The 16,653-nt window shown below is 55.3% G+C and overlaps 1 protein-coding gene across 2 annotated transcripts in view, besides 5 other annotated features; it reads right to left on the bottom strand.

Moving 5' to 3' along the window:
• Positions 2,861 to 3,761: an enhancer, noted in NCBI's record as "H3K27ac-H3K4me1 hESC enhancer chr2:96051115-96052015 (GRCh37/hg19 assembly coordinates)". NCBI's record gives its function as "activates a minimal SCP1, AML or CMV promoter by ChIP-STARR-seq in naive H9 embryonic stem cells {active_cell/tissue: H9 hESC(naive)}" and the evidence as "EXISTENCE:reporter gene assay evidence [ECO:0000049][PMID:30033119]".
• Positions 3,051 to 16,653, bottom strand: part of KCNIP3 (potassium voltage-gated channel interacting protein 3) — an 88,731-nt gene continuing 75,128 nt past the window's right edge. For both annotated transcript variants that reach the window (NM_013434.5, NM_001034914.2), the window contains 7 exons: positions 14,708 to 14,832; positions 14,211 to 14,280; positions 13,920 to 13,990; positions 7,425 to 7,532; positions 6,647 to 6,751; positions 5,834 to 5,896; positions 3,051 to 5,126 (listed from right to left, as the gene is read on the bottom strand). In NM_013434.5, coding sequence (NP_038462.1) covers positions 5,079 to 5,126; positions 5,834 to 5,896; positions 6,647 to 6,751; positions 7,425 to 7,532; positions 13,920 to 13,990; positions 14,211 to 14,280; positions 14,708 to 14,832 — 590 coding nt within the window. In that variant the 3' untranslated portion in view covers positions 3,051 to 5,078. The remainder of the gene's footprint in view (positions 5,127 to 5,833; positions 5,897 to 6,646; positions 6,752 to 7,424; positions 7,533 to 13,919; positions 13,991 to 14,210; positions 14,281 to 14,707; positions 14,833 to 16,653) is intronic.
• Positions 3,133 to 3,427: a silencer, noted in NCBI's record as "tiled region #3005; HepG2 Repressive DNase matched - State 8:EnhW". NCBI's record gives its function as "represses a minimal TATA promoter and a strong SV40 promoter by Sharpr-MPRA in HepG2 cells {active_cell/tissue: HepG2}" and the evidence as "EXISTENCE:reporter gene assay evidence [ECO:0000049][PMID:27701403]".
• Positions 6,946 to 7,145: a silencer, noted in NCBI's record as "fragment chr2:96047731-96047930 (GRCh37/hg19 assembly coordinates)". NCBI's record gives its function as "represses an EF-1alpha promoter that drives an FKBP-Casp9 reporter gene in an ReSE screen in K562 erythroleukemia cells {active_cell/tissue: K562}" and the evidence as "EXISTENCE:reporter gene assay evidence [ECO:0000049][PMID:32094911]".
• Positions 12,993 to 13,571: an enhancer, noted in NCBI's record as "H3K4me1 hESC enhancer chr2:96041305-96041883 (GRCh37/hg19 assembly coordinates)". NCBI's record gives its function as "activates a minimal SCP1, AML or CMV promoter by ChIP-STARR-seq in primed H9 embryonic stem cells {active_cell/tissue: H9 hESC(primed)}" and the evidence as "EXISTENCE:reporter gene assay evidence [ECO:0000049][PMID:30033119]".
• Positions 14,153 to 14,732: an enhancer, noted in NCBI's record as "H3K4me1 hESC enhancer chr2:96040144-96040723 (GRCh37/hg19 assembly coordinates)". NCBI's record gives its function as "activates a minimal SCP1, AML or CMV promoter by ChIP-STARR-seq in naive H9 embryonic stem cells {active_cell/tissue: H9 hESC(naive)}" and the evidence as "EXISTENCE:reporter gene assay evidence [ECO:0000049][PMID:30033119]".

Genomic DNA, 16,653 nt, shown 5'->3' with positions numbered 1-16,653 from the left:
GAATGAGACAGGCCAGGCCCACGGGTGCCAGCGCCAGCTCTGGGCCCTCTTCCCTCCCTATTTCCGCGCAGTGAGAGTGGCCTGCTGTGGCCCGATGGCCCAGACTACCCCTCCTCAGCCTGCTGGTCCTCACACGGGCCTTGGGGTTACCAGGAAAACTGGGGACCAGCACGGATTTGTTTCCAATACCTGGAAACTCCTGAAATGTCTGTCCGCTCTCTGATGGCTTATGGGTGTGAGTCACCATTTCGTAAAAAGGGAGAGATGCAGGCACACGTCAGTGGCTAGGAAGGAGGGACGCCCGTGTTTATTAAGAGACGAGTAGATGTGCATGCGAAATCATCACACCAGCCCTAGCAGAGGAGTTTTGTGTTGTCGTTGCTTATTTTACAGATAAGGGAAACCGAGGCTCAGCAAGGTAAACTGACATTCTCAAGATGACACAGAAAGTTCCCGAATGGAAGCATTGCCCTGCGCCCTAGATGCTACAAGGCTTTAGAGACATGGCATATGTCAAGCAGTCACCTGGGATGTGGACTGGGGACACAGCTCTACTCTGTCCTCAGGGCAGGGTGAGGGGAGCAAGAGGACTCCCCTGCCTTTGCCCCTTTCCCACCCAGACTTCTGCGTTGATGTCTGGATGGGAGCCGCACAGTGCTGGCTCCCAGAGCGGATTGGACCAGCCCCGACCCTGTCCCATGGGAAGCCAATCCATGGGCCATTGAAAGGCTTGGCAGGGGAAAGACATGCCCAGCAGAAAGGGCCATCTTCAGTCCAGTCAACTCCTCTGGGGGAGGTGGGAGTGTGCCCTAACGGAGAGAAGATGCTGCACATGACAGAGAATCGAGGCAGAGGGCAGCCGCGTTTCGCAGAAGCAGTTCTGGGGCAGGGAATGGTCCGCTCCCAAAAGCCAGGCCATGAGATGGTCCACCCATTGCTGGAGCTGGATGTGGTATCTGAACATCCTGTGCTCATCTAAGCCGGATTCTGTAATGCAGGCTCTCTCCTTGTGCTTGTTTTACAGATGAGAAAACCGAGGCATAGAGAGATTGTGTGACTTGCCCAAGGTCACACAGCTGGTGAATGGTGAACTGGGGTTTGTGTTGTGGCAGATGGGTGACTATGTCACAAGGGTGCGTGGGGAGCTTCTGTCTGTCCTGTGTGCTTGAGGCTGACGCAAGAAGCATGAAGGGCGTAGAGAGCAGTAAATATTGAGGGAATATAAAGAAATGCAATGTTACTTGCAAAAATAGTAAAAAAAAAAAAAAAAGTATAATTTCCAAAAATAGCTAATGCAATATTTCTAGCGCCATTGCTCTCCCAGACTTTATCACTTCCTCATCAAGAGATGGAGACTAGTTCTCCTACACTCAAAACTCAGTAGGACTTCATGTGACTCTTGTTGACTAGAACGTGGAAGAAGTGATGCAGCTTGACCTCTGAGGCTAGCTCATCAAAGGCAATACGGCTGGTGCTTGGTTCTCTCTTAGGACACCTGCCCTTGGGAACCGGAACCTAGCTGCCACATTGTAGGGAAGCCCAGGCCACATGGAGAGCCCATATATGTTTCCTGCCAACAACCCCAACTGATGTTCCCGCTTACTGCCAGCAGCACCGGCTATCACGCATGTGAGTGAGTGAGCCTCACTTCTGCCATGTTCTATTCATCAAGACAGTCACATGAAGTCCTACTGAGTTTTGAGGGCAGGAAAACTAGTCTCCATCTCTTGATGAGGAAGCGATAAGGTCTGGGAGAGCAGTGAGGCTAGAAATATGGCATTAGCTATTTTTGGAAATTATGCTGATTTTTTTTTACTATTTTTGTAAGTAACATTGCATTTCTTTAGATTCCCTTAATATTTACTGCTGTCTACACCCTTCATGCTTCTTGCATCTTGGAACTTTTAGCTGGGAGATCGCCTTGCTTCCACATGAAGTAAAGCCCTTTTCTCTATTATCTATTGGTGGCAAAGTCTCCTAAGTTATTTATTTATTTATTTTTTGAGACTATGTATTTTTTGAGTCTATTCCTCCCCAGACTGGAGTGCAGTGGCACCATCTTGGCTCACTGCAACCTCTGTCTCCCAGGTTCAAGCAATTCTTCTGCTTCAGCCTCCCTAGTAGCTGGGATTACAGGCACTCGCCACCATGCCCAGCTAATTTTTTGTATTTTTAGTGGAGATGGGGTTTCACCATGTTGGCCAGGCTGGTCTTGAACTCCCGTCCTCAGGTGATCCACCCACCTCGGCCTCCCAAAGTGCTGGGATTACAGGCGTGAGCCACCATGCCACATTGAAAATATTTTATTTGCCTGGTGTAAAATTCCAGGTTGGTAGTTACTTTTCTCTTGGCAAACTGGACATGCCATTCCCGTCTTTCCGCATCACTGTCACTGAGGAGAGCTGGCAGGCAATCTGTCTCTGGCTGTCTTTGCCATCTCTTTGTCTTTGGTGTTCTGCAATTCACCGTAACGTGTTTAGGTGAGTTCCCTTTTATCTCACTTGCTTAGAACGTGTTTGGATTTCTTCAATCTGAACTGGTGAGTTGGGGAACCCTCCTCCTCCCTCCTCCCAGGCTTTCATTCTTGTCCCTTCCCTGGCATTGTCCTCACAGGGCTTATACTTCTGAAAATAAACACCAGGAGATGTGTTCAGGCAAATATTGCTTTCTTCTGCCCCGTGACCCTCACTCTCCAGCCAAGGGGACACCCAGAATGACTTCCTGGAACTGGGAAAGAAAAATTATCTGGGGGTGAAATACACATGGTGCCTCAGGAAGAAGTCCTCCTGCCCTGTGGGGTCTGTGCGGAGGCTGCAGGGCTGGCGCTTCCCATGAAGGCCACAAAGGCCCACTGTGTGCATCTCGGCCTCACTCGGCCTCAGTGAGGTCACACTGTGAGCCTGAGAATTTGAGCGGCATTCTCTGCCCCCAGAGCCAGCTGTCAAACATTTACCAGCACAGCACCAGGCAGGATCCACGGCTAATGGCAGCAGGGGTGGGAAGAGCTGAGCTGAAGTTCAGAGCTAGGATAAAGCCAACAGGAATCCCTCTCCTTTGTCAAGTTTATTTTATTAAAATATACAGGACTGAATATTAGTGGATGCTGAGAACAGGAACCACCCTCCCAGGCCGTGGCCAAGGGAGACGCTTCTGCCATGCAGACATGCGGCCGGTCTGTGTCCCAGCGTGGGAGGCAGACCCCTCCTGGTTGGGCTGTGCAGCCAGTCTGGCCCCAAGGCCAAGGCCGGCAGGGGTGTGGTGGTGATGCTCTCCTGAGGCCTTGGCCTTAGAGGCAGAGTGACACCAGCTGGGAGGGCTGGGCAGCGGGTGAGGGGAGGGAGAAGATCCCTGAGCCAGGGAAAGCTGATGCCCTCCTGGAGGCAGAGGCCCCCAGTCAGCCTGGAGCCTGGAGCCAGGCGTCCATGCAGCTCCGCAGGGGAGGCCAGGCTGTGTGTGAATGCCGAGGGGCCCCCATGGCCTCCGCCATACTGCCTTTCCTCTGAGGGCCCTGCTCACCCTGGGGCTAGCCTCTTGGGGCACACGGGGACTCCCCGGGCCAGCCCTGAGTGGAGCTGGGCTGGCTGTGATGGAATGTATTATGTGGGAATGTTCCTGGAGGGGCCATGCGGCCTGGGACCGGGTTCCTTCTGGGTGAGGCCCCAATCAGGCGGGAGCAGCATCTCTCTCCTCCTGGGGGTTTCTGCTGACCACCCAGCCACAGCCCTCTCAGCCCTCACCATTGGCTCCAGCTTTGGGCTGGCATTCTCCATCCCCAGATGGAGGGGACAGCCAAGCAGAGTCCCCAGGGTTTGTGCTTTTGAATGTTGGTCAGCCGGGCTGGGCTTTGGGGCCCCACTGATCCCAGGCACAGAGCAGACCCCCAAGGCCTCTTCCCCAGGGCCACCATATTGGGGCTACTGGGCCCAAGCCTCAGCCAGCAGGAGGGCCTGGCCTCCGAGAAGCAGTGTGCTGGGCTCCCACTAGGGCTGCGCCTGAGCTGCTAAGGAATGCTTGTGCTTTTTGTGCAAGGCAGAGGGACGGCGACACTGCTTCAGGAGAGGGGGCTCAGCCAAGCTGCTGGGCCATGGGAGGGGCACTACAGGAAGAGGAGGGACACGCCCCTTCCCAGACTCCTCTGAGCTCTGCCCCGGGCTCCCTGGCTGCCAGTCTCTGAACCACGTTCCTCCCGGGACCTAAGAGGACCTTGGAGGGAACAGTCTGTGCTGGAGGGTGTGTACAGCCCCACCCACTGCATTCCCACTGAACCAGGACTGGGGCAAGGAGAGGCTCATCCCACCCTGTGGAGCTGGCAGAGAGTGCCCTCAGATTCTCCACCACGACCCAATCCCTAAACTTGAAATCCCCCGCCTTCCTGCCATGGAGGGAGAATGGGGCCCAGTGGCCCCTCACCACTCAGGCTTGCCCCACAGTGGGTGGCCTGGTACCCAGCTCTTCCAGGTCAGTGGAGTAGCAGGGGATCCTGGGACCCCCAGGGAAGAATTTCCAGAAAGCTGCAGGCTTGGCCTCCATTACCCCCTCTCCCCCCTGCCCCCCAGCTGGTCCCTCTGGGGTCCTGAGGTGAGGGGCTTTCTAGAAGCATAGGTAGTGGGCAGAGAGTGGCTACGGGGAGGAGACCAGGGGAGCCTGGGGCCGGCCCACTGTGTGGCAAGAAAGCAGAATGGAGAACGGGACGAGGTGGGCTCACACCGGAGATTGGACCCTCCCCTGCAGGGGCACTCGAGCCCCTTCTTGGTGACATCCAGCAGCTGGTGGCCTGCAGACCTGCTCTGTCAGCCACTCACCCAGAGGCAGCCTCGCCTCGCTGGCCTGGGAAGGGCTGGCTGGGGCTCCTGGACTCGGCCCCTAGCCAGACTCAGCCCCTCCCTGAACTCTGTCCCCTCTGCCAGCCCAGATGAATGGCTGTGTGTGTGTGTGTGTGTGTGTGTGTGTGTGTGTGTAGCAATCTGTTCACTTTTTGCAAATCTATTTTTTAAAAGTTTCTTGGAGGCTGCTCCTGGCAGGATGGAGGTTTCTTGGGGGTGGAGGTGGCTGTGGCCATGCACTCCTTTGGACGTGTCCTAGATGACATTCTCAAACAGCTGCATGGAGCTCATGATGTTCTCATCCTGCATGGAGAGAGGAAGGGAGGCCTTCAGGTGCTGGGTGGGCTCCAAATCCGACCCCCTTGAGCAGATTCCCGCCAGGGACTCGGAGCCTGCAGCGACTGCCTGTCTGTCTGTCTTATTGGGTGCAGGGAGCTGGGGGACAGGGAGGTGAAGTAGCTGGTCCGAGGTCCCCAGCTGGTGAGGCACAGCCTGTCTTCAACCCCACTCCTGACTGCAAGCCCATCTGGGATGAGCTGATGAAGGCGATCCCGGCTGGCCTCCAGAGGAGGTGGGCGCTAACCAGGACTGCTCTGGGAGTGGGGCAATAGAGGCGCTGGAGGCCCAGCATCCTGCCCCCTGAGGTGCTCTCTGGAAGGGCCAGCAGCAACACTGCGGAAGCTCTGGTGCCTCCCCACGGTGACCCTCTCCCTCTGGCTGGCCCCATGTCTGCCCCTAACTTGAGGTTCTCCAGGGACTGGGCTGAGGGAGGGTGTGGGGGTAGTGGGGGGATGCTGTGGGCTGCAGGGGTGGGTGGGGAGGAGGAGACTCAGACAAGAGGGCAAGTGGAGCTTGGGGCTGTCCAGGAGGTGGCAAGGGGCCAAGGACAGCTGCCACATCCTGGACTGGCAGGGGTGGGACTGGGGTGAGGGAAGGGGCAGACGCTGCCAACCACCCACCTCCGTGTAGAGCCTGCAGAGAACTGTGGCCCAGCCTCCCGTGCCACCTACCTTCTGACAGGCCTCCAGGAACTCTTCAATGGTCACTACCCCATCCTGGTTCCGGTCCATTTTCTGCAACCCAAGCCATGCCCAAAGTGAGTCTGTGCCCCAGCAGAGACAGCCCCGCCCCTGGCCTGAGGACGCAGAAGTCATGGGTGGGTGGATGGGCGGGTGGGTGGATGGGCGGGTGGGCTCCCTCCACTCTAACTTGTCCCCTGTGACTACTCTGGATCCAGGCCACATAATCCACCCTTCATAGCCACCTCCCAACCAACTGCTGAGGCTCCAAGCATCTCCCCACTGCTCCCCTAGGCCAATTCCCTGAGCCCTCCTGGGCTTGGGTTTCCCAGAATTTGTCCCCATGCTCATCTGACCGCCTCACCTCCCTGAGAGGCAGCCAGGGCAGAGGGAGCAACTGAGTCACAGGATGGCCCATGTCTAGTGGCCCCAGCAAGTAGGAGGCAAAGCCTGCAGCCCCTGCAGCCGCCATGCATACAGGTGAAGGCCCCCAACCTGCTCCTCTCCCAGAGCGTCTTCCTGGAGGAGCCACACAGCTCTCAGGAGGCATGGAGCTCCGGCCCAGGGTCAGCTGCCTCAGGATCCCCAGCTCTGGCCCCCAGATGAGGTCCACAGGGCAGAGCAGTGGTGTAGTTCACTTCTCAGGGGTTCTGACAACCAGCCAGACTGGAGGGGCAAGTTTAACCTCCTCATGGGGAGTAGGGAGGCTCAGAGGGGCAAGCCACTTGCCCGGGGTGGCCCCAAAAGCGAGAGCCCCTTCCTCTGCCAGGCTCCCCTCCCTAGGCAGGGCTGGCGCTCGCTCACCTCGAAGAACCTCTCCACGTGCTCCGCCGGCGCGTCCTCCCGCAGGATGGGGTAGGTGTGGCGGCCCATCATGTCATAGATGGACTTCATGATGGCCAGCATCTCCTGGAGGGGGAGGCTGGCATGAGCCTGCTGCAAGGCCGGGGTGGCTGTGAGGGCCCAAAGGGAGCGGGCGGCATCCAAGGGTGCAGGGCACCTCCAAGGCAGTGAGTGCGAGGGGCCGGACGAGCTGGAGAGAGAAGCCTGTCCGCTTCCAGGGCACCCAGAGCGAGCTTCTGACTCTAGGGGAAGCTCATCTCCCAGAGAAGTGGGAGATGGATTGCTATGTGCTTATCTCCAAAATGTGACGCGGCAGCAGAAAAAGTGCTTGGACCAAACAAAACCTGTCTGTGGGCCCATGTGCGAGGGCTCCCCTCTCCACCCATGCCTTAAGGGACCGCACTGCCCCCTTCACTTGATGGGGGCCAAGGCCAGGACCTCTGGCTTCTCCACTTAAATCTCCCCGAGGCCTTTTGTGTAAGACAGTATGACCGAGAACACTTGCTGAGCTGGACCGAGATGTGTGGTACAGGGTACCTGAACCCACACTCCACACCGGGGTGTCCAGGACCGAGCCCAGGAGAGGAGAGCCCACTGGCTGCTGTCCCTGGGGCCAGTCTCTGGATGGACAGCGGGAGAAGACAGGTGGGCAGCAGGAGCAGGGAGAGGAAGAGCGGCGGGAGGGGTGGAGCAGCAGGAGGGGAGGAGGGGACAATCCCTGCCCCCAGCCCCCTACTACCTCTTTGGTGATGTAGCCATCCTTGTTAATGTCGTAGAGATTAAAGGCCCACTTGAGCTTCTCGTGGACTGTGCCCCGCAGCAGGATGGAGAGGCCAACCACAAAGTCCTATGGGGAAAGGAGAGTGTGGGGCGTGACATCCAATCAATGCCCAGGTTCTAGTTCCAGTTGCTGTGTGGCTTCCACTGAAATTCACGCCTCCAACAGGCACAGAGCCTCCCTAAGAGACTGACGGCATCCATTCAGGTCAGCACAGGGTGAGTGTGTGCCCGTGTGTGAGCGCATGCACGGGTGTGCACCTGTGTGTGTGAACTTGTGTGAGGGTGTGCACCTGTGTGAGAACTTGTGTGAGGGTGTGCACCTGTGTGAGGGTGTGCATCTGTATGTGTGAACCTGTGAGGGTGTGCACCTGTGTGTGCACCTGTGTGAGTGTGTGAACCTGTGTGAGTGCATGCGCATGTGTCTGCATGTGTGGCAGGAGTGGCATGGTAGCTGATACTGATGCCAGAGAAAGATATTCAAATATATATGGTGTCCTAGACCCATTTAATGCAGTGCTGCCGCTGGAGACGCCTGGGGTACTCTTTTAATAAAGGAGGTGCTCTATGTTTATTCTGCCAAGCATCTGCATGGCAAAGGTGCTTGAAAACTTCCAGATTAAATAGCTAGAGGAATGATGCTCAGCTTTTTGTTTGTTGTTGTTTTTAGAGACAGAGTCTCAGACTGTCACCAGTCGCCATCATGGCTCACTGCAGTCCCAAACTCCCAGGCTCAAGCGATCCTCCACCTCAGCCTCCTGAGTAGCTGGGACCACTCGGAATAATCCATGCCTGGCTAATTTATTTTATACTTATAGAGATGGGGTCTCGCTATGTTGTCCAGGCTGGTCTCCAACTCCTGGCCCCAAGTAATCCTCCTACCTTGGGCTTCAGAAGTGCTGGGATTACAGGTGTAATCCCAGGGCCACCTCGCCCAAACCTGGTGCTCAACTCTTGAGTCATGACATGCTGTGTGTGGCCATCGCCTTTGGCATGGGAAACTTTACTACTAATATGACAGAATATGGCTGTTTAAATGGTTTCCATGTGACAACTTCAACTGTTTTGTTACAGCAGTTGGTAGAAAGCAGGTTTTCCCCCTACCTCTTGGAAGGTTTAAAGGTGAAACCCTCCCTGCACCCTGGGGTCCTCCCAGGCTACTCTGAAAGAAAGGGGTGAGAAAGGGGCTGTACCAGCGAAGTGGGACAGAGGACGGTCAGAGTGCAAGGGACAGGGCCATGCACCAAGGCCCCGAGGCCCCTCAAGTGTTAGATTTTCGGGACTGGAAGAAGTCTGTACCATGAGAGAGACAGAGACAGAGGAAAGCGATTTGGAAGAACAAAAATTATCCCAGGAGAAAAAAATTTGACAACAACTATTAGGTTCAGAGATTACAAATCTTCCATCACTAAAATAAGAATAGGATGTCCCAAAAAAGAGGTAACTGGAAAAAAGAAAGAGCTCTTGGAAATTAAAAATAAGAAAGCAAAATGACAGACTTAAAAAGAAAGGTTGGGAGAGCAAATGGAATCTTCCATGAAGTGGAATGAGAAGGCAAATAGCTGGAATATAGGGGAGAACAGAGGATAATGAGAGTTGCACTCCAGAGGGGCCAATGCTGGGACACAGGCAGTTCGGGAAGAACGGGAGAAAACAGAGGAAAGTGGGTAGGAGCAATCAGGAAAGACGATTTCCCAGAATGGAAGCAGAGATTTCCAGTGTCCACCAAGGCTTGGCACAATGCATGAAAACAGCCTGCAGTTTAGCTGCAAGCATAGATCATGGTGAAATTTCAGCAAATTGGGTGCAGAGGATCCTATAAACTTTCAGAGAGGAAAGCAAAGCCAAACAGAAAAAGCAAAATCGGGACCCATCACGGGTCAGTGTCAGCAGGGGCACCTGCTCTGCAGCAGCGCCTGAGGCAGGAGGCCCAGGGAACGAAGCGACCCCCAACTTTGAAGGAGAACAGCTCCCCCTGGGGGTGCTGGTCCCTACAATGGATCAAGCAAGAGTAAAAACAGAATAAAGACACTCCCAGGTGCTCAAACGCTCCAAAGTTACAGCTCACATCCTCTTTTATAGGAAGCAGCTGGGCAGTAAGCCCCTGAACACACAGAGAGTAAAGCAAGAGAAAGGCAGATCAGGGATCCCAGAACCAGAAGGCCCAGCCCAGCAGACAGGGGAGGAAGCCCCAGAGGCACCAGGCCCCAGCGAGGATGGAGCTGTGGGAGGCTGGTGGGGGGGCCTCCTCTGGCAGATGCCGGGCAACAGGTTCAGATGACTGGAGAAGGGCCTGGGCTTGAATGAATAATGAGGTCACAGAACACAGACAAACTAATCATCAGGACCAATGTTAACCGTAGGCAAAGGAAAGGAAAAGATCATCGCAATGGACAACAAGCCTCAGCGAGGGGTCCAGTTCACAAATCAGAGTAAACCAAGGCCTTATCCAACCTGAAGCCTAGAGTCTGTTGGAAAGCTGAACTCCTGGGCTCAAGCGATCCTCCCACCTCAGCCTCCTGGGGGATGGGTGGGGGGCTGGGGGGACGGGAACGTTGTATGTCTGAGGGAGTCCCAAATTCTCACTTGTGGCAGGGGGTGGAAAAGTGGAAGCAAGCTTCTGGGGGACATGGAAACAAGCACAGGTGACTGGCTACAGCAGACAAGGTGGTGGTCACCTGCTGGTTTTCCAACGTGCACCCTGCGAATGTGTTGGACTCCAGTCATGTGTGTGTATAACTGAAGACAATGAATATATATATATATATGTGTGTGTGTGTATATATATGTGTGTGTGTGTATATATGTGTATATATATGTGTATATAAATATGTGTGTATATATGTGTGTGTGTGTGTATATATATATATGTGTGTGTGTGTGTGTATATATATATATATTTTGTTTTTGTTTTTGAGATTGAGTCTCACTCTGTCACCCAGGCTGGATGGAGTACAGTGGTGCAATCTCAGCTCACTGCAACCTCTGACTCCTGGGCTCAAAGTGATTCACTTGCCTCAGCCTCCCAAGCAGCTGGAATTATAGGCACCCGCCACCATGCCCAGCTAATTTTTTTTTTTTTTTTGTATTTTTAGTAGAGACGGGGTTTCGCTATGTTGGCCAGGCTTGTCTCAAACTCCTGACCTCAGGTGATCTGACCGCCTTGGCCTCTCAAAGTGCTGGGATTGCAGGCGTGAGCCACCGAGCCCGGCCAATGAAAATATTTTAAAGAAGCAACACCCAGGTGTGGTGGCTCACACCTGCAATTCCAGCACTTTGGGAGGCTGAGACAGGAGAATTGCTTGAGGCCAGGATTTCAAGACTAGCCTGGACAACATAGTGAGACCTTGCATCTACAACAATTAAAATAAAAAAATTAGCTGGGCATGGTGGCATGCACCCGCAGTCCCAGGTACTCGGGAGGCTGGGGTAGGAGGATCACTTGAGGCCAGGAGGTCGAGGCTGCAATGAGCTATGGTGGTGCCACTGCACTCCAGCCTGTCTAAAAATAAAACAAAAAAAATAAAAATTAAAAAACAAGGAGAAACATTGTTATATTTCTACTATGCCCAAGTTTAGGGAATAATAATCACTGAAGCTTGGGCATGGTTTACACAGTAGTGAAGATTCTAAGTTATCCCTGAAGCCCTGGGTCAGACAGGCCTTCCTAGTGGGTAGCAAAGGCGTGGAGCACACCGTTCTCCTGGGGACCCTGGGCAGGCACCGCTGTCCTCCACCTTATCTTCAGCTGACATGGGCCCCTCAGGTGGTCTGTCTGTCTGCTGCGGAGAAGCCCTCATGTTCAGCCACAGAGCCTGCTGCTAGCAGCTGAGGAATGTCCCTATGCAGTATCCCTTAGCCTCTCTCTGTGTGTTGGCTACAGTAGTGACAGTACTAGGAGATGGTGGGAATGTCCTGTTAGGCCACTGGCTAGTCTCCATTCATAAAGGTAATACACAGATGACCCCAAGTCCAGCCAGCCCATGTCTGAGTGCACGCTGGTTCTAAATTCCTTGGCCATACACAGTGCAACCATGGCAAGTTGTAACTCCATGCTCTGAATGCCAAAGTGTAGGAACCCTGTCACATCCACAGCCTCTGTTCTACGGCTGTCCCCATGGCAGGGGCTAGGCAGGGTGAGGGCTCCAGTGACACAGCATACTTCCAGGTGAAGGTGCACAAGAGTGCACAGGAGGGTCTCCCGGCAGAGCCCGGAGCAGGTGCTCAGCGAGGGGGTGGGAGTCGCATGTGGTTGCTGGGCTTGCAGGCTGCCCTCACACGGCCCTGGATGCCGCTTGGCCACTGGCACATGGAGCAGTTTACTGTCGGGGGAGGTAACAGAGAAGCGGCCGCACCTCCAGATGCCTGCCTGGCTGCCACTTCCAAACTGGGCCTGACTTGATCCTGGGCACTGAAGAGGCCCCAACAGTCTACGGAATCGTTTTGGAAGCTCTGCACGTCCTGGCAAGCCAGATGAGTTGCACGAGAAAGGCCCTGGTGGCCAGAGCGTTCAGCAAATCTGTGTGTGGCGCTGCTCACCTGGGGCTCCCTGCTGCTGGCAAATCCCAGAAGGTCCGTGGGGATGGGAGCAGGAGCCACTCCAAGGTGGGGTGTGGGGATGGCATCGCCCGCTTGGCTCTGTTGAGGTCTGTGTGTTTTCCGATTTGGTCTTTTTGGTTATTCTTTTTGGTGAGCGGAGGGAGGGTATTACCTTTTACCATATCAGTAAACTGTAACTAATATGCATCTTGTCTCTAAGAATATACAGAAAGGGACAGAATCATTGCAGACAGTGTCATGCAGGGTTGCCTTGCATTACAGACGCACGTAGGAGGCTCTGAGGGCTGGCAGTGAGGATGGCCCGGTGTTCTCCAGACTAGATTTGGTGCCTCCGTCCCTGGCAGGATCCTTTGTGACCACTGGGATCCCAGTCTGTGGGGCTCCCAGGATGGGGCCATGGGGGCTTGTGCCCTCCTCCTTCCCAGAGCAGAACACTTTGAAATCGAGAAGTTCCTCAAGGTAAATGTACCTGCGTGAAGCCAGAGGACTTCGTTTCACGTGCAGAGAAGCTGCAGAAGGCCCAGGAAGATGCCAGGGATGAGTGATCTTCTGAGAAGGTGCCCAGCAGAGGGGCCACAGCACAGCCACTGACAGACCCAGCCCAGAGGGCTGCCACCTGCTTCCTTAAAGGGCCACAAGGCTGTCCCTCAGGACAGCGAGGGTGATGGCCACAGGAGGTGAGGGGCGACTGTGACCTTCCTGAGCACTGCCATGAGCAGGGGCTCTGCCGAGCCTCTCAGTCATCTCATTCCTGAACAAGAAAAACCACTCGCACCCCGCCTGCTCCCTTACACCGTTTCCTAAAGATGCTTTACTGCCTGAAGTGTCAGGTGCCTCTTAAAGGGCACCCCAGGAGAGAGGGGCAGGGAAAGGACCTTGAGTCCTCCCTGAGGCTCCTCCATGCTAACCGGGTGTTTTCTGTGTGCTGTGGGGTTGGTATTTCAAATCTGAAAACAAGATTTGAAAACACGGTCTGCTTCTATGTGCAGAGCCCTCAGAGTGTGGCTCAGAGTCGAGGGGTCCTGTGGTCACAGGGCAGGCGGGGAGCGTCAGTGTGCCTGGCGGGCTTGCGGCATAAAAATAACCCGCGCAGCTTATCGACAAGTTATTATTACCCCGTGTGGCCGGGGCCTTCTGGCCCCATGTGCTTCTCTGTGCTTTCCTGTTAGCTGCCCTTAGCCCAGTGGAAGCCAAGCTGTCGGGGTATCGATCAAGCCGGCTCTCAGAAAGGTTTTCCTCCCCAAAGCGGTTTCAGCTTTTCGCCTGCAGCTATTTTTAGAGGCTTGGGCTCCGCAGATGGGGCCTCTCTCCAATGATCCTGTGTGGCGGGGCTGGGGAGGAGCCCAGGCCAGGACCCCACAGGGAAGCTGTCTGGGTGGGGGACAGGCTTCTCCTTCCGCCAGTGGGTAACACCAGGCTTTGCTCTCAGTGCCCAGCTGGGATGAGCCCTGGAGGCTGCTCCGGCTGGGATGTTTTCTAGATATTTTTGGCCTATTTTCTGGGTAACAAGGAGTAAATTCTGAAAATGGAGGTCTCACATCCCACCGTCAGCAAACCAGGCCTCTGAGTTAAGCCCTGATCCCTTTGAAAATGCAAATTCCCGCTGGGTCACTACCACCCGTGTGTGTCTCGGGGGCTCCCTTGACCAGGCAGAGCTGGATGCAAACTCTCAAATGGAAGAAAAGGCTGAGAACGTGGTGCCGGCCCAGCAAAGTCAAACACCCCAGAGCTCACTGGCCCAGGGCCAGCCACATCCACTCATTCCCAGGGTGACTCACAAGATCCTTCCCACCCAGGACCATGGCTCTCTCGACAGCCCTGACAGTGACGCCAGGGTAAGGATTCACTCCTGCAACCACAGGGGCAGGACACGTGGGAGGAATCCGCGAGGACCTACCTCAAAGTGGATGGCCCCGTTCCCGTCCGCATCAAAGGCGTTGAAGAGGAAGTGTGCATAGGTGGTGGCATCTGGGGAGGGCAAGGAAGAGGCTGGGGTGTGTCGGGGCTGCCTGGCGGCTCATCTCCCACCCCAGGCAACCCCAGCTGAGGGTGCTAACTGCGTCCTGGCTTGGAGTCCCTGTTTCCCACGGGACAGGGGCAGCACCAAGCCTCCAGGATGCAAGGGGCAGCAGGAGGGTCCCCTCCCTCCACACTGGGACACAGCAGGGCTGCCCTGCCTCAGACTCACCTCCCTGAGGGAAGAACTGCGCGTAAATGAGTTTGAAGGTGTCTTCGTCCACCAGGCCCGTGGGACACTCCTGCAGCAGGAAGGCACCCCCTCAGCCCTCGGCCACCCCCAGCTCCAAGCCCGACTCTGCATGGTGCCTGGCTGGCCTCTCTCCACCCCCTTGGGGGCTGCCTGCTGCCTGTGGCACTGCTGGGGCCCCCTGGCCTGGGTTGTGGAAAGCCTGGGTAGAGGTGGGGTGAGAGGGAGGAGGGGTGAATAGGAAGGGGGTGACTGCTCCCCCATACCCTCCTCCTCTGTACCAGCAGCAAAGACACGGAGGGAGGAGCATGGCGGCCTCAGCGATGCCCATTCCGGAGCCTGCCCCCGCCACACAGCTTTCCCACAACACATAAGCCCCTTAAAGGCCCCTGGGATATTTACTGTGGCATGGAGAAGTTTCCAGGTCTCCCTGAGCCAGGGTCTCCAAGGCCTCTCCCGGGGGAATGGGGAACACTCACATTCTTAAAGCCCCTGTAGAGAGACTGCAGCTCCTTCTTGGTGAACTTGGTCTGGGCCTGCAGCTGGTCCAGCCCCTCTGGCTGGTGGCGCACCGTGGACAGCTCCAGCTCACTGTCGCTGCTATCTGGAGTGGGACACAGACCAGAGAGTGTAAGGCCTGTAGCCCTGCTCCTCCATCTTGCTCCAGTGTGGCCAGGGCATGGGCCAAAATAGCAGGTGGAGGAACTCTCTTTGCATGACTACCATGGACAGCCACACAGGCTGTGCACTGCACAGAGGGGGTGTGACTGAGTGGCCCACACAAGAGCTGTGCCTCTGCTTTCCTGCCCCCCACAGGGCGGGCCTCCCCATCGCAGCCCCTGCAGTGTGCCCCCCTGTCAGCCGCACAGTGGGACAAGGTGGGAGCTGCTCTTGTCCTAAAGAGGCACTGAACAAGGGGATATAGGAGGGGGAAAGACAGCAAGACAGGCATGAGGGACACTTGAACTTCAGTATCCAATTCCTAGACCACTTCCTCCATGTGGCCCTCCCTGACTTTCCCCAGGAATGGAGAGGGTGCCTCCCTTGGCCCTCAAGGCCTAAGGCGATGCTGTTCAGCTACAGTTGGCAGAGGGGTGTTATTCACATCTGGTTAGGAGGCTAAACCTCCAGGGCTGTGGGGGCAGGGATCAGACCTGTCCTTTAAAAACAATACACAAACTTGGCAGGGTGCGGTGACTCACACCTGTAATCCCAGCACTTTGGGAGGCTGAGGCAGATCACGAGGTCAGGAGATCGAGACCATCCTGGCTAACACGGTGAAACCCCGTCTCTAATAAAAATACAAAAAATTAGCCAGGCATGGTGGCGGGCGCCTGTAGTCCCAGCTACTCGGGAGGCTGAGGCAGGAGAATGGTGTGAACCGGGGAGGCGGAGCTTGCAGTGAGCCGCGATCGCGCCACTGAACTCCAGCCTGGGTGACAGAGCAAGACTGCATCTCAAAAAAAAAAAAAAAAAAAAAAAAAACCACAAACTTGTTAACTAACCATGGCTACATTTGAGGGGGAGGTGCAATTTCAGGTGATTTTTACTTTTTTATTTATGATTTTAAAAAACATTTTCCTAATTTCTTTTGGTGTGACATGCATCACTTTTACAATGCAAAATAAAGCTAGGGCTGAAACAGCACTGAGTGCCCACACCTTGCTGAGCAGCATCCTCGCATAATTACAGAGCGCCACCTTCCCACAGACCCAGGACTCATGGGCCCCGCTGCACCGTCGCCCTGTCTCCCCTGGGCCACACAGAATGGTGGTGATCCATAATCACCCTCATGGCTGGTACTCTGGTGCTGGCTGCTGCCTCTCCCACTGCACAGTGAGCTCTTCAGGGGCAGCTGTCCTGCACAGCTCATCCTGTGCCCGTGGTGCCTGGCATGGTGCTGGGCACTGGTCCTGTGCTGAGCTTGCTCCATACCCAGGCCTCTCCCGAGAGCGTGGTGGGAAAGACAGCCTGCACTGCCCACTCACACTAACCACAAGAGCACCCTGAAAGCTGCTCAGCAATTGGGCTGTTTCTTTGGTCCACACATGCTCCCCATCTCCAAGATAACTATTTCATACCATCCTTCCCCTTAAGTTTCCAGTATCTCCTCTCCCATCCTTACCCTCAGGTTGCTTCCCACTTCACTGAGAAGACACAAGCCATGGAGGAAAACTTCCCCAAGCCCTCACCCCACACCTACCCACCTGCCTGCACCTGGCCCAGACGTCTGCACGCCTGCCTGCTCCATGGCTGAACTGTGCCTGCTCCCAGCAAAGGCAAACCTGCCACTTGTGCAGTGGGTCCCGATCCCTCTCACCTACTCAGGCAAGCGGTGCCAGCCAAGTCTCCCACTCTTTCCTCATCACCTTTTCCCCTCTTCTGGATCATTCCCATCACCATATAGACATACTGTAGTATCTCG

This window comes from Homo sapiens, chromosome 2 (genome assembly GCF_000001405.40).
Source record: "Homo sapiens chromosome 2, GRCh38.p14 Primary Assembly".
In the NCBI taxonomy this organism is placed as follows: Eukaryota; Metazoa; Chordata; class Mammalia; order Primates; family Hominidae; genus Homo; species Homo sapiens.
This window is presented reverse-complemented; position numbering and strand designations above follow the sequence as displayed.